The 13509-nt window shown below is 40.9% G+C and overlaps 1 protein-coding gene across 28 annotated transcripts; it reads left to right on the top strand.

Annotated features, from left to right (window-relative positions):
* The first annotated feature begins 812 nt into the window (after positions 1-812).
* On the top strand, positions 813-11637 carry ZNF311 (zinc finger protein 311). 28 transcript variants are annotated; one of them, NM_001010877.5, is made up of 8 exons: positions 813-857; positions 1167-1417; positions 2360-2479; positions 2831-2912; positions 6378-6469; positions 6812-6938; positions 7587-7691; positions 9839-11637. In NM_001010877.5, exons 3-8 carry the CDS (start codon positions 2471-2473, stop codon positions 11422-11424), a joined length of 2001 nt encoding a protein of 666 aa, NP_001010877.2. In that variant the 5' UTR covers positions 813-857; positions 1167-1417; positions 2360-2470; the 3' UTR covers positions 11425-11637. The 28 variants fall into 28 exon arrangements, with proteins under 28 accessions (NP_001010877.2, XP_047274625.1, XP_047274617.1 ...); XM_047418669.1 differs by having other exon boundaries at positions 6788-6938; XM_047418661.1 differs by having other exon boundaries at positions 2360-2554.

The following is a 13509-nucleotide window of genomic DNA, read 5'->3' as shown; positions in this document are numbered from 1 at the left end:
GGACACAAATAGACAAAGCCAGCATGTAGAACATTCAGGACAAATGTCCCAATTTGTTCAATTAGTTGACTATATGAGGGGAAGACGAAGAGGAGGATGGAAGGAGGAACTAGTTCAGATGTGAATTTTAAAAGAATTAAGACACATGCCCAAATTAAATACTGGAACTTTAGATCTTGAATGAAATAGAAAACAAATGTAAGAAGCATATGTATATATTTAGGGAAATATAATATGGACTTGGTATTAGATGATAACCAGGAATTATTTTGTTAAATGGGATAATGGTATTGTGATTCTGTAGGAAAATATCCTTTTTAAAATAAATGCATAATGAAGTTGAAAGTAAGATATTTGGGGTTTGCTTTAAAACGTTTCAGCAAGAAAAAATGGAGATGGATGAAACAAGTGTGGCAGAATTTTATGTATTTTTAAATGTAAATGATGGGTATATATGGGTTAATTATACTCTTCTTTCGACTTCTGCATAGGCTTAAAATAGTCTTTACTTTTGAAAAAGACATTCAATTATTTGTGTTCTTAGTTAATATTTAAAAGTAACTTTTTCATATATTTGTCACAAAACTTCTGTCCATTCCTATCTAGAGGTTCCTCTACATGGGAAAAAAGGAGCAAAAGGGTAATATTTCTGCAACCCCTTTGCACAGGCCATAAACGCACGCAAACTCCTAGAAGGCTGAGCCGCGAGGAGGAGGGCGGAGAGTTTAAGGGAACGCCTAGACCAGAGAGTTGACGCCTTTCCTAGAAAATCACCGGAAATGATAATTGGCGGACTAGGAAGTGGAGCTTCTGTATATTTCTGTTTCTCATTTCTTGGGGAGAGTACCGGCGGGAAGGTCTGTGCCTTGGGCCGTCGTGGGTCGGAATTTGCAGCTGAGAGGAGAGGAGTCCGGTGCCGCCGTCGCCCCCCTCACCTAAATACCCGGGCCCCTGGGGTTGCAGGCAGGGGCGGGTCTTTGGGGCCAGATTTGAGGAGGGAGTCGGCTGCGGTTTCCTCCCTCGAAGCCATTCCCCAAAATGAGCATTTCCCGCCCATTTGCCCTACCTCCTCCCAGGGGCTCGTGACCCATTTTTTTTTTTTTTTTTTGAGACCGGAGTCTTGCTCTTGTCGCCTCCTGACCCATTCTTTTTATTCTTCTCTACAGCATCCATTCATATATTCATTCAGTCAGCTAATTTTTAATCCAGCACATACTATTGCAAGCGCTGTTTTAGGCGTTGAGAATACAACTGTGAACAAGACGACAAAAATTCCTGCCCTCATGGAGCCTAAGAGCCTAGATTTTAGCGAAGGTAGAACCACCGTAAACAATGTATATATTAATAAGTAACTTATGCACCATACTGGAAAATTATAAAGTGCTATAGAGGAAAAGAAGAATTCATGTAAAGCAAGGTAAGGCCCATCAGGATTGGAAGGAGGGGATAGGCTGCAATTTTAAATAAGGCACTCAGAGTAGACCTCCTTGGGAAGATGACCTATAAGAAAACACTTGAAGGAGGCAAGATTATTAGCCATGGAGATCGCTTAAGGTGAAGGGAGCAGCCAATGGAAAGGCCCTAAGATGAAAGAGAAGGAAGGTCGGTATGGCTGAAGATTGAGGGAGTGGGAGAAGAGTAGAAGGTGTTGAGAATGACACATCCTGTAGACTTGTATGCCACTCTTAAGACTTCAGCTCTTATTTTGGGTGAGCAGGAGAGGAAGTTAGAAGTCACGGGCACATTCAGTAGGGCCTTGTATACCTCGGTAAGGACTTCAGGTTTTATTTTAAGTATGAACCACTGGAGAGTTTTCAGCAGAGCGATGAAATGATCCAACTCAAGTTGTAAACGGACTACTCAGACTGCCCTATTAAGAAAGGAGGTGGAGCTTGCAGTGAGCCGAGATTGCGCCACTGCACTCCCGCCTGGGCCACAGAGCGAGACTCCGTCTCAAAAAAAAAAAAAAAAAAAAAAAAAAAGAAAGGAGGAAGGCAAGGATTGAAGAAAGGAGACCAGTTAGAAGACTACCGCAGTAATGGAAAGGAGGGGAGATAGCAGGTGATGGTGGCTCAGACAAGGGTGGTAGCCGTTGAGATTGTATTCTGGATATGTTCACATTTTCAGTTTGACTTCGTGCCTCAGGTTCTCAGTGACTCCCTATTTTTTCCTGTGGTCACATTCCTCTTTTCCCTTCACCAAATATGCAGGGAAACAAGATGTGAGATCACAGCGGTTTAGTGTTGCTAATGAACCCCAAATCCAGGGCAGTGTTTGACACATTAAGCCAAACAGTAGCGGCACTGTGGGTCAAGAAGGGCCCTTTGGCTGGCACCACCAAAACATGTGTTCTCCAAAGGAGGCTGGCATCAACTGGAGCCACTTCACAGCTTGTTTGAGAACTGGATCTGACCAGTAGGAAGAAACCAGGACAGCAGTGGAAGACTGTTAAAGAAACCTGAGTAAAAAGATGCAGGAGGTAAGAAGAGGAGGGTCTGTGATACATCACAAGGAGGAAGAAGGAGAAGTGAGTCCAAGAAAGAAGGAAAGCAGTGTGAGTGGAGGTGTGTCTGACTCTAGATACTGTTGGAGGTGTCTCCTCCTAGATACTGTTTTTGCTGCTTGACCTGGTGATCATTAAAGCTTTGTAGTTGTAGATGCCATTTCTAGTTTTCATAAGGTATTAGGAACTGAGTCCATTATTTTCTCCCTTCTTTTGGTATTTCTGGGAGACAGTTTCTGTGGATAGACCTGTATGGTTGCTTGCATCTTCCTATGTATTTTTCTCACCTTCATAACTTTCCTGAATTCATTCTGTGTCTTGCAATAGGTTGTGCTGTTGGATGAGAGTTCAGGACCACCAAGCCAGCTGCTTTGGACCCGCCAGGATACCCAGCTCCCTCAGGAAAGCGGTGAGATACACAGGAGATTGTGGCAGGAGTCACGGCAGCTGAGAATGTAGTAAGGACACAGAGTGGGTGGAAAATGCCACACTGGGGCCCAAAAATCTGTTCATTAATGAGCATTTATAGAAAGTCTTATTTTGTTTCTATACGAGGCTTGGATCAATATCTAGAGGAACTAAATATTCAGTTTCTGTCAGTATCTTAAATTTTGAAAAAAATCAGTGTGTAAAAGATTCTACAAAGCAATTTATCAGAAAGAATCAATGCAGTCAGGCATTTACTGTTTGTATAACCTGAGATATATGGTAAATAGCGTACATATTTGCACATATTTTACACTTATAAAACTTGTGGTATAATTCAGTAATTCCTACCCAAACATAATTTTGCCAACATGTAAAATTTGAATATATACAATTTTACTTCTGCAGACCTTTCTGGAGCCCTGATACTTTTAAATGATGTATAGATATCTCCAAAATATAAAATAAAGCAGTGACAAAAGAAGAAGCAAAAGTTTTCCCATTGAAGCCTTGTGCTCTTTGGTGGCGTATGTGAGGAGGAAAAGTGGTTAAGATTTGTATAAAAGCTGATGGTAGGCCGGGTGCGGTGACTTATGCCTGTAATCCTAGCACTTTGGGAGGCCTAAGTGGGTGGATCACTAGAGGTCAGGAGTTCATGACCAGCCTGGCCAATATGGTGAAACCCCATCTCTACTAAAAATACAAAAATTAGCCAGGTGTGGTGTAATGCACCTGTAACCCCAGTTACTCAGGAGGCTGAGGCAGAAGAATTGCTTGAACCCAGGAGGTGGAGGTTGCAGTGAGCTGAGATCATGCCACTGCACTCCAGCCTGGGCAACAGAGTGAGACTCTGTCTAAAAAAAAAAAAAAAAAAATTGCTGTTGGAGGTGCAACCTAGGAGATAGTATATAGCAATTCAGGAGTCATAAAATCAAACCCAGAAAGGCATAGACTTTTGGACAGAGGAGTAGGCACATTCAAAAGTAAGCTTTTTAGTATATGCTACCTGCAAAAAATAAAAATAAAATGTGTTTCTAGATATAGTGTTGAAACATCTAGAGGAGGAATCCTGAGATATCTGCTGTACAAGGGATCACAAATGAGAATTAATAATATAGAACATAAATTTTTTATAGATTTAGAAATAAAAAATAATAGCTATTGCTAAACTCGGATGCACGAGTCTCCCAGTCTTCTTTTTCTCAAATGGTCGTGAAATCTGCTGTGGTGGATTTTCAGGGTCAGAAATTCTGTAGCCACCTATCATATAATACAATACAAATGTATTAATCTTATCCCACAAGATATCTGTATACTGCTTTAACAAAAAGTTTTATGTTGTTTTTTCATGTAGCCTGTTTCCTAAATTCATTTTTAACTTAAGAGGAATAACCTTTCAATTTCTAAAGCTAAAGCTAAAAAATAAAGCTTATGAATCACTATGAGTGACAGACTTTCCCAGTTGTGAAGAAGATATGGTAAAAACCAGTAGGGAATGAGTTACATAGGGGTATGCTTTTGTCAAAGTTTCTCTAAGGGTACATTTAAGACATGTGCATTTCATTATATGTAAATTTTACCTCGAAAAAGAAGGTAAACAAATGTTGAACTTCCAGTTAATGATATACATGTTAAACTGTTTAGGGGTGAGGTGTACTGATGCTTTCAACTTACTTTGAAATGATTCAAAAAATAAAATACATTAATGAACAGAGAGAGGAATAGATAAATGGATAAGTATGTGATAAAGCAAATATTGCAGAACGTAAATTGTGGAATGTAAGTGATTGGTATATGGATATTTACTATATAATTTTTTCAACTTTTCTATATACTTGAAAATATTCATAATAAAATAATGGTTGAAAACATCCAATTGAGAGCTTTAAGTGTGTTAATGTTATAAGGAAAAGAACTGTTATGTAACATTAACAAGGCACAAACATGTGTCTGCTGTGAGTTGTGTGCCATCCAGATGAGTTTAGACTTTTTGAGACAGTTATAAAGGAGCTCGGAGCTTTTAGAGTGAGACAGTGGAAAAACTGTATGGAACCACCATGACTGAGATGCAGCCTTGGTCTTGGTCAAAAGCTATAAGTAGCTGAAACTAAAGAAGAGTCTTCTTGGGCAATTTCAGTGAAAAGAAATCAGCTTGGTTCTAAATCGGTTTTTCGTAAAAATGGAATGATAGTCTTGGAGGTCTAAATCCAAAGGGTGATTATAAAATCTTACCAATAGATTACTTTGACCCTGCTGGTGTCTTAAAAGCAGACAGCAATTATTCAGATTTGGACTTGGCGATGTGTTGATAAACTATCAAGAAAAATAAGGCACCTTAAACATTGAAGCTACAGAAAGATTGAGCTGGCCTGCAAGGAATAAAGTCAGGCCCTATTAATTAGTAATATGAACTACTTCTCAGCTGGGCGTGGTGGCTCATGCCTGTAATCCCAGCACTTTGGGAGGCCGAGGCGGGTGGATCATGATGTCAGGAGATGGAGACCATCCTGGCTAACATGGTGAAACCCCATCTCTACTAAAAATACAAAAAATTAGCCAGGCATGGTGGTGGGCACCTGTAGTCCCAGCTACTTGGGAGGCTGAGGCAGGAGAATGGTGTGAACCCAGGAGGTAGAGCTTGCAGTGAGGCAAGATCACGCCACTGCACTCCAGCCTGGGAGACAGAGCGAGACTCTTAAGTCTCAAAAAAAAAAAAAGAAACTACTTCTCACCCAATCATATGGATTATACCTGAACACTTGGACACTCTTTATAAAGTTTCTTTTGCATTTTAAAATGCTCTGTGTGCTATACTATATTGACATAGGGAGGATAACTCAGTACTAGGGAATTAGTAGGAAAAATGTGCAAAATCGGGAAGAATGATTCTTCTCTAAGAGGAATAAGGAAAAAAATTTGTAACTAACTGGAGGTAGACCAGCCATTAAGTTACCTGAAAAAATAAGCTTTGGTCCTATCCCTGGATGCTTCTGTTCAACACATATGCACACACACACATACGCGTGCATGCACACACTCTTTTTCACCCTCCTTCTACCCCAAGTATTTTGGAAGAAATGACTTCAGTATTCAAATACAGGAAGAAGGTCTATTCAAAACCAGGGAATAAGTGATTTGGGCCTTTTTACCAGATCTGTTTGGGGAGGGGGAAAGTTTATTCCAGGACAAAGACCACAGGAAAACAGTAGGTGAGACAGGAAAAGAGTGCATTTCCAAGAGCTGCCTTGGCTGCTGTGCCAGGGCCTGATGCCCAACACTGGAAGTTGAGACTAGAAAAATAATGAAGAGGAAGGATACTGTAAGGCAGTAGCCTAAAGCCCTAGGTTAGAGCTGCAGAAGCTTCTACATTTGAGGAAGAGAAGACGAATGCAGGAGATTTCATTAATACTGTGCTATATTGACTCTTGGCTTACTTATCTTCCCTCAGCTCTATTACCTGCTCCATATCCTGCCTTCACTAAAGATGGAAGCCAAGGAAACCTGCCGCAAGCAGATATCACACTAATGAGCCAGGCCCAAGTGAGCTGAGGCCCCTTTCCTCCTCCTTGAAAATACATCACTACCTCCAAAATATGGCCTTGTTTTCACTGCGTTCTCTGGCTGTGCAACTCCTAAATCAATGTTCTCCCTCTCATAAGGAACATTTTGTTGCATGATAAACCACTTGTGGGTTGTTTTCTCTTTCATTATTTTTTGCTATCAAAACCCCATGCTCCCTTTCATCTCATTTGTACATACCCACCAAAAGGGAAGAGCCTTTCACTTCTATAAACCTCCTCCTTGCAAATTCCTTTCTTCTGCCTCTGTTTCCTGAGGAAACTATGGCGTTTTCTCCAGGATAGCAGGAGCATATTATTTCAGGAGTCAGTGACATTTGAGGATGTAGCTGTGAACTTCACTAACAGGGAGTGGCAGTGTCTGACCTACGCTCAAAGGCATCTCTATAAGGATGTGATGTTGGAAAATTATGGGAACATGGTATCACTTGGTAAGGACCTTCCCTACACTTAATGCTTTCTACCTTCTTTTTTTATTATTTAATTGATTTATTTATTGATGTATATAAGGTCTCATATTGAAAGAGTCCTTATTCTTTATCATCAGGATCTTGCCCAAAAATTAAGAGTTTTGAGTTGCCTCTATTACATAGCAAGATAATTTTTTGGCTAACCTAGTTGCTGTTTTCTGATTTGGAATGAGTTAAAAGGAGACATTTACCTTCTGTTTTCCCTGGGTTCTTGCTTCCTCAAGCCTCTCATTTTTTTATGGGGTGTTCTATATTCCGCTCCTAGTCAAGAACTGCCTTCTATGTGCCTGAAACTGATAGTCTTCCTATACCAGACTCCCATTCTCCTAAAGTAAAACAAAATAAAATTAAAAAAAAAAAAAACAGGAGAGCACACCCAAATGACTGTTTCCCAGAACTTCTCTTTCCTTCTGAGTGTGACTTTTCTGAGAAAGTCCCCAAACATGTTCTTTTACATGTTACTAGACCCCTGAAAAACCCTTTTCTCTATCTAAATTAACATTTCTTTCCTGTTTTCATATACAAACAGAAGGATCAGGGCTGCTTAGCTAAGTTATAAGTTATTAAGTTATAAGTTACTCTACACACTTATTTCTTCTCTGCAACCAGGATTTCCATTTCCTAAACCTCCTTTAATCTCTCATCTGGAGCGAGAAGTAGACCCCTGTGTGCAGGATCCACAGGACAGGGAGTCCCTAAGCTGCTCCTACCCAGGTGAGTAATAGAGAAACTTTCAGTTCCCTCTGATCTTCCATGTGGCATAATGGTTATGGAACATTCTCAGTGGTGGATCATCCAGTCGAAGGGCCCAGAAAGGAAACCCATTTAGGAAACTTAAGGAAAAGAAAATTGAAACAGTGACAAACTATTTGGGCAATTATTCTGTTATTATCTAATTGGTTCTTTGCAACCTATCTAATAGATTTTTGCAATTTGGCCCTCAAAAAAGGCTCAGAGGCTGGGCACAGTAGCTCATGCCTGTAATCCCAGCAATTTGGGAGGCCAAGATGGGCAGATCACCTGAGGTCGGGAGTTTGAGACCAGCCTGGCCAGTATGGTGAAACCCCATCTCTACTAAAAATACAAAAATTAGCTGGGTGTGGTGGTGCATGCTGGGTGTGGTGGTGCATGCTGGGTGTAATCCCAGCTGCTTGGGAGGTCTGAGGCCGGAGAATCATTTGAACCCAGGAGACAGAGGTTGCAGTGAGCTGAGATCACACCACTGCACTCCAACCCGGGGGACACAGTGAGACTCCACCTCAAAAAAAAAAAAAAAATCTCAGAATATTTATTACCCTTCTGTGTGTCAGTTACTGCAGTGCTCATAAATTGAGACAGGTGAGAGTCATTCTAGGCAGAAGGAATAACATGTGAGAAAGCATTGAGGAATAAAATAATATGAACTATGAATTGTTCAGTGTGAGTAGAGCAGGGGACTTAGAATAGCTTTGGGGAGGTTCATAAGTAGTAGAAAGGGGCAAGATCATGATATGACGTCTGTTTTTTGGGAGTTTTCTTAAGGAATTTAAACTACAAAACTTGAACTTACAATAACAGCTAATATTGATTAAAGTACTTCAGTGTGGCATGTGCTTTACATACATTAACTCATTTAGATAAAGCAACTGAGGCAAAGGAGAAGTGAAGTCATCCTCCCAAGTTCACACAGGTATTAAGATTTATTAACTGTCATACTAGGATTTGAACCCAGGCAGTCTCACTCTAGAGCCAGGACTCTTGACCGTATGCTTTACTTTCTTCCTGTCTGGTTAACTATGGAGTGCCATTGAAGTATTTTAAGCTAAAAAGTGACATGATTAGACTTGATTTTCAGAGAGAATAATCTGGAAGCAGTGCAGAGGATGGATTAGAAGGGATTCAGGGTAAAGGATGTTTGAGGGATATAGCAATTAGTGAGAATGCACTGGCAGTGGAAATAAAGAGGAAGAGATAGAGTTCAGAGATAATATTAATAAGATGTATTTGGAGTCTTTGGTTGACAGCAATAGAAATTAACCCAAGCTAGCTTAAGCAGAAAAACATGAATTTATTTATTATTCAGGATGTGTCATGGGACCTAAGGGCAGCTATGTGTCAGGCCCTAGAAGAGACTCAAAACCATCAGGTTTCCAACTGTATTCCCTGCTTCTTTGTGAGTCAGCTTCATTCTTCTTTCTAGGCAAATTGACCTTCTCTTCTTCTCGGACCAGATGGCAGAACATTCCCTCCTCTGTACCAAATACCATCCCACCACCACTAGTTCTCAAATTTAAGTGCTAAAGACTGAGCTACTCTTAGAGCTGGCCTTACCTGCCGTCAGATCACAATTCTAAAGTCCAGGATTAGAGAATCTGACCTGGTTTGGGTCAGGTATTGCACAGATCTAATCTGCCCCAACCAGATGGGCTGAGTCACATAACAGAAATATGGCTCTCCAGGGCCCACCCTTGGGAGCAAAGCAGACAGTTCCTTGAAAAGGGACTGCATCAGCATTTCAGCACCTCCTCTGTAACTCTCTTCACAGGTAGAATTTGTAAAATGTTAGCTGGGTAAATACAAGGGAGACAGAGTTGAAGATTATTTTGTTTTGTGGCTTAGATGACTAGGTGTATAGAGTTTACACTCACTAAACTAGGAGACTATAGAGGAGGAATAGGTTTTTAAGGATTTTTTATAAAGTGTGCTGAGTGTAAAATATCTCAATACTTTTCATTATTTCAGCCTGTTCTGACTTTTGGCCACAACGTTAGTAATTTTTCCAGCATGGAAAAGTTATTTACTCTTCAAACAGCTTAACATTGCTTCACGCCTCCCATCTCACTTATTTCCTTCCCTCTGACATTTGTATTTTCTTGTTTAAGTGTCAGCTGACAAGATGTGGCCTGAGAATGAAAAGGCAAGTTCACAACAAGAGATTTTTGAAAATGGAGAAGCCTACTGGATGAAATTTAACAGTCTCCTAAAAGTTGATTCCCGGGATCCTAAGGTTAGAGAAGTTTGTGTTCAGGATGTCAAATTAGAGAATCAATGGGAAACATCTATAAGGGAGAAACTGAGAGAAGAGAAAGAAGGCTCTGAGGAAGTGACCTGCAAAAAAGGAAAGAACCAGAAAGTGCTTAGTAAAAACTTGAATCCAAACTCAAAACATAGTCAATGTAATAAAGTTCTTATAGCACAGAAACTCCATGAATGTGCCAGGTGTGGCAAAAACTTCAGTTGGCACTCAGATCTAATTCTCCATGAGCAAATTCATTCTGGTGAGAAACCCCATGTGTGTAATGAGTGTGGGAAAGCATTCAAGACCAGAAATCAGCTTTCTATGCACCGGATAATCCACACAGGGGAGAAACCTTTTAATTGCACCCAGTGTGGGAAGGCTTTCAACAGTAGATCAGCTCTTTGCCGACATAAAAAAACCCACAGTGGGGAGAAGCCTCACGAGTGCAGGGACTGTGGGAAGGCCTTCAAGACCAGGAACCGTCTCTGTATGCATCAGCTTATCCACACCGGGGAGAAGCCTTACAAATGTAACTGCTGTGGGAAGGCCTTCCAGTTTAAGCATTCCCTTACCATCCATGGCAGAATCCACACTGGGGAGAAGCCATATGAATGTGAGGAGTGCGGGAAGGCCTTCAGTGGGAGTTCAGACCTCACCAAACACATAAGAATCCACACTGGGGAACGACCTTATGAGTGCAGCAAGTGTGGAAGGGCCTTCAGTCGGAGCTCAGACCTAAGCAAACACAAACGAATCCATACTCGGGAGAAACACTATGGGTGTCCCCAGTGTGGAAAAGACTTCAGCATCAAGGCAGAACTCACCAAACACAGAAGGATCCACACTGAAGAGAAACGTTACAGGTGTGAGGAGTGTGGGAAAGCCTTTCGTCATAACTGTAAGCGCAGGGCTCATGAACGAGAGCATACAGGGGAGAAGCCCTATCAATGCAGGGATTGTGGGAAAACCTTCCAAGATAAGCACTGCCTTACCATCCATCAGAGAATCCACACTGGAGAGAAACCTTACAAATGTTTAGAGTGTGGGAAAGCTTTCAGTGGGAAGTCAAACTTGACCAATCATCGAAGAATTCACACTGGAGAGAAGCCTCACAAATGTGAGGTATGTGGAATGGCCTTCCATCATAGTTCAGTCCTGAGGCAGCACAAAAGAATCCACACTGGTGAGAAGCCATACACCTGCAGTGAGTGTGGCACGTCCTTCCGTCAGGGCTCAGCTCTGATTGGACATAAGCGAGTTCATACTGGGGAGAAACCTTATGAATGTGAGGAATGTGGAAAAGCTTTTAGAGTGAGCTCAAATCTTACTGGACATAAGAAAAGAAAACATCAAGTATGGAGTACCCATGAACTTGATGGGAGTAGGAAATCCCTCTCTCCAGTGACTGTTTCTCAGACCTCAGTAGTCAGTATTTTGACCAGTGCCTGAGTATAACGATTCTGGTGTTACTTTCTGTTTTTCCTACCTCTTAGGCTGGTCCTTCTGTCTCTTATATTAGTTATTCCTGATTTCCTGACCCTTAATTGTGAGATTCCCCAAAGACATTGTCCTTTACCTTCTTATTCACTATTTTTTCAGTGAGCACATTTACTTCCAAGAGTTTATCAATCACTTCCTAATATTAATAAACACTTATTAGTGCTTGCTGTGTTCTAGGCACTGTTCTAAGGGATTTACACATTTAAACTTTTTAAATCCATACAACATCCCTATGAGATCAGGAATTTGAGGCACAGAAAGATTAACAAACTTGCCCAGGATCACGTAACTAGTAAATTCTGTGCTCAGGCTTTCCTAGGCAATTCCCATATGCGTGCACCACATCTTTCCGACATGAAGTTATACCTCAGTTCAGCAGAAAACAGTTTGTAATTTATAAACACCAATCATTTTTAGCAATTTTTTTAACATAAAGCTAGAATGGTACTTCTCCATATTGTATCAGGATTGCTAAGATTCAAAGTGAAAAGGGAGGCAGGGAGAGAACAGGTTTAGAAATCACAGATAAGAGTCAGGCACGGGGGTTCATGCCTGTAATCCCAGCACTTTGGGAGGCTGAGGAGGGAGGATCACGAGGTCAGGAGTTCGAGACCAGCATGGCCAATATGGTGAAACCCTGTCTCTACTAAAAATACAAAAATTAGCCAGGCATGGTGGTGCACGCCTGTAGTCCCAGCTACCCTGGAGGCAGAGGTTGCAGTGAGCCAAGATCGTGTCACTGCACTCCAGCCTGGGCAACACAGCAAGACTCCATCTCAAAAAAAAAAAAAAAAAAAAGAAATTACTAGTCTGACCTCCAGAAGTCTTTTGATGTTTCCTAAACACATAAAATGAATATTTTGAGAGCGTATTTGAATAAATTTTAGATTTTTACCTGGTGAAAAAGATATGTCTTGAAAATTCTGAAGGACTACTTTATGAACAGTGGGTTAATCTTGTTCTGCAACTATCCCAGAATAGAATTACAATCCACAAGTAGAAGCTACAGGACATCTGTACATTTAGGAGATACTCAACTGGAACAGATTCTGCCATAAGGTAATAAGTTTGGTAAGAATAATACTGAAGGAATTCGAAGGTCAGGTGCATAGTTGAATGACAAAACATGTTGCTTGAAACCCTAAGATATCTGTAGTTCTAATTCTGAAGAGTTACCAAACAAGAGTTAGTCTAAGTTATAATTTACATACAAAAATCACCAGGTAAAACTCACTTTTTAAATCGAATTACATTCCACGTGCAAACACAAAATTTTTACCAGAACACTGATATGAGATTATTTTTACCTTCACAAAAGAAATGGAGAATGCCAATTTCATTTAAGTTTAAGAAAGATGATAAGATACTTCTTGGTAAGGATTGTAGCTTGACTACGTGTATTTGGTATTGCTCCCCCTCAGAACTACACTAATGCTACAGTAAAACCATTCATAATCAGGAAGAATGGCAGAAGAGGCAACTACAAAATTTTGGAAACTGAAAAAAGGATAAGTAATAATGACATTGAATTTGAGAAAGCTAAATTTTAGCCTGAAGGGGGCAAGTAAAGGACAAATCTGACCGGGCACCGTGGTTGACACGTGTAATCCCAGCACTTTGGGTGGCTGAGATGGGCAGATCACTTGGGATCAGCAATTTGAGACCAGCCTGGCCAACATGGTGAAACCCTGTCTCTTTATTAAAAATAGAAAAATTGGCTGGGCTTGGTGGTGCGTGCCTGTAGTCCCAGCTACTGGGGAGTGGGAGGCGGAAGTGGCAGTTAGCCGAGATTGCACCACTGCACTCCAGTCTGGGCAACAGAGTGAGACTCCTTCTAAAAAAGAAAAGAAAAAAAAAAAGACATTTATTTTACATCATAGAATCTTTAAGCGACTCAAGAATTGGTGGCACCATGTACCCCTGGAAATGAGAATGAATAGACTAAAACGAGGAGAGTCTGTCAGAGGCTATTTAGGAAGCAAGCAGAGTCCTAGGTCCTCAAGCCCAAAGAAGACTGGAGGTTTATTTTCTGAA

This window comes from Homo sapiens, chromosome 6 (genome assembly GCF_000001405.40).
Source record: "Homo sapiens chromosome 6, GRCh38.p14 Primary Assembly".
Lineage (NCBI taxonomy): Eukaryota > Metazoa > Chordata > Mammalia > Primates > Hominidae > Homo > Homo sapiens.
This window is presented reverse-complemented; position numbering and strand designations above follow the sequence as displayed.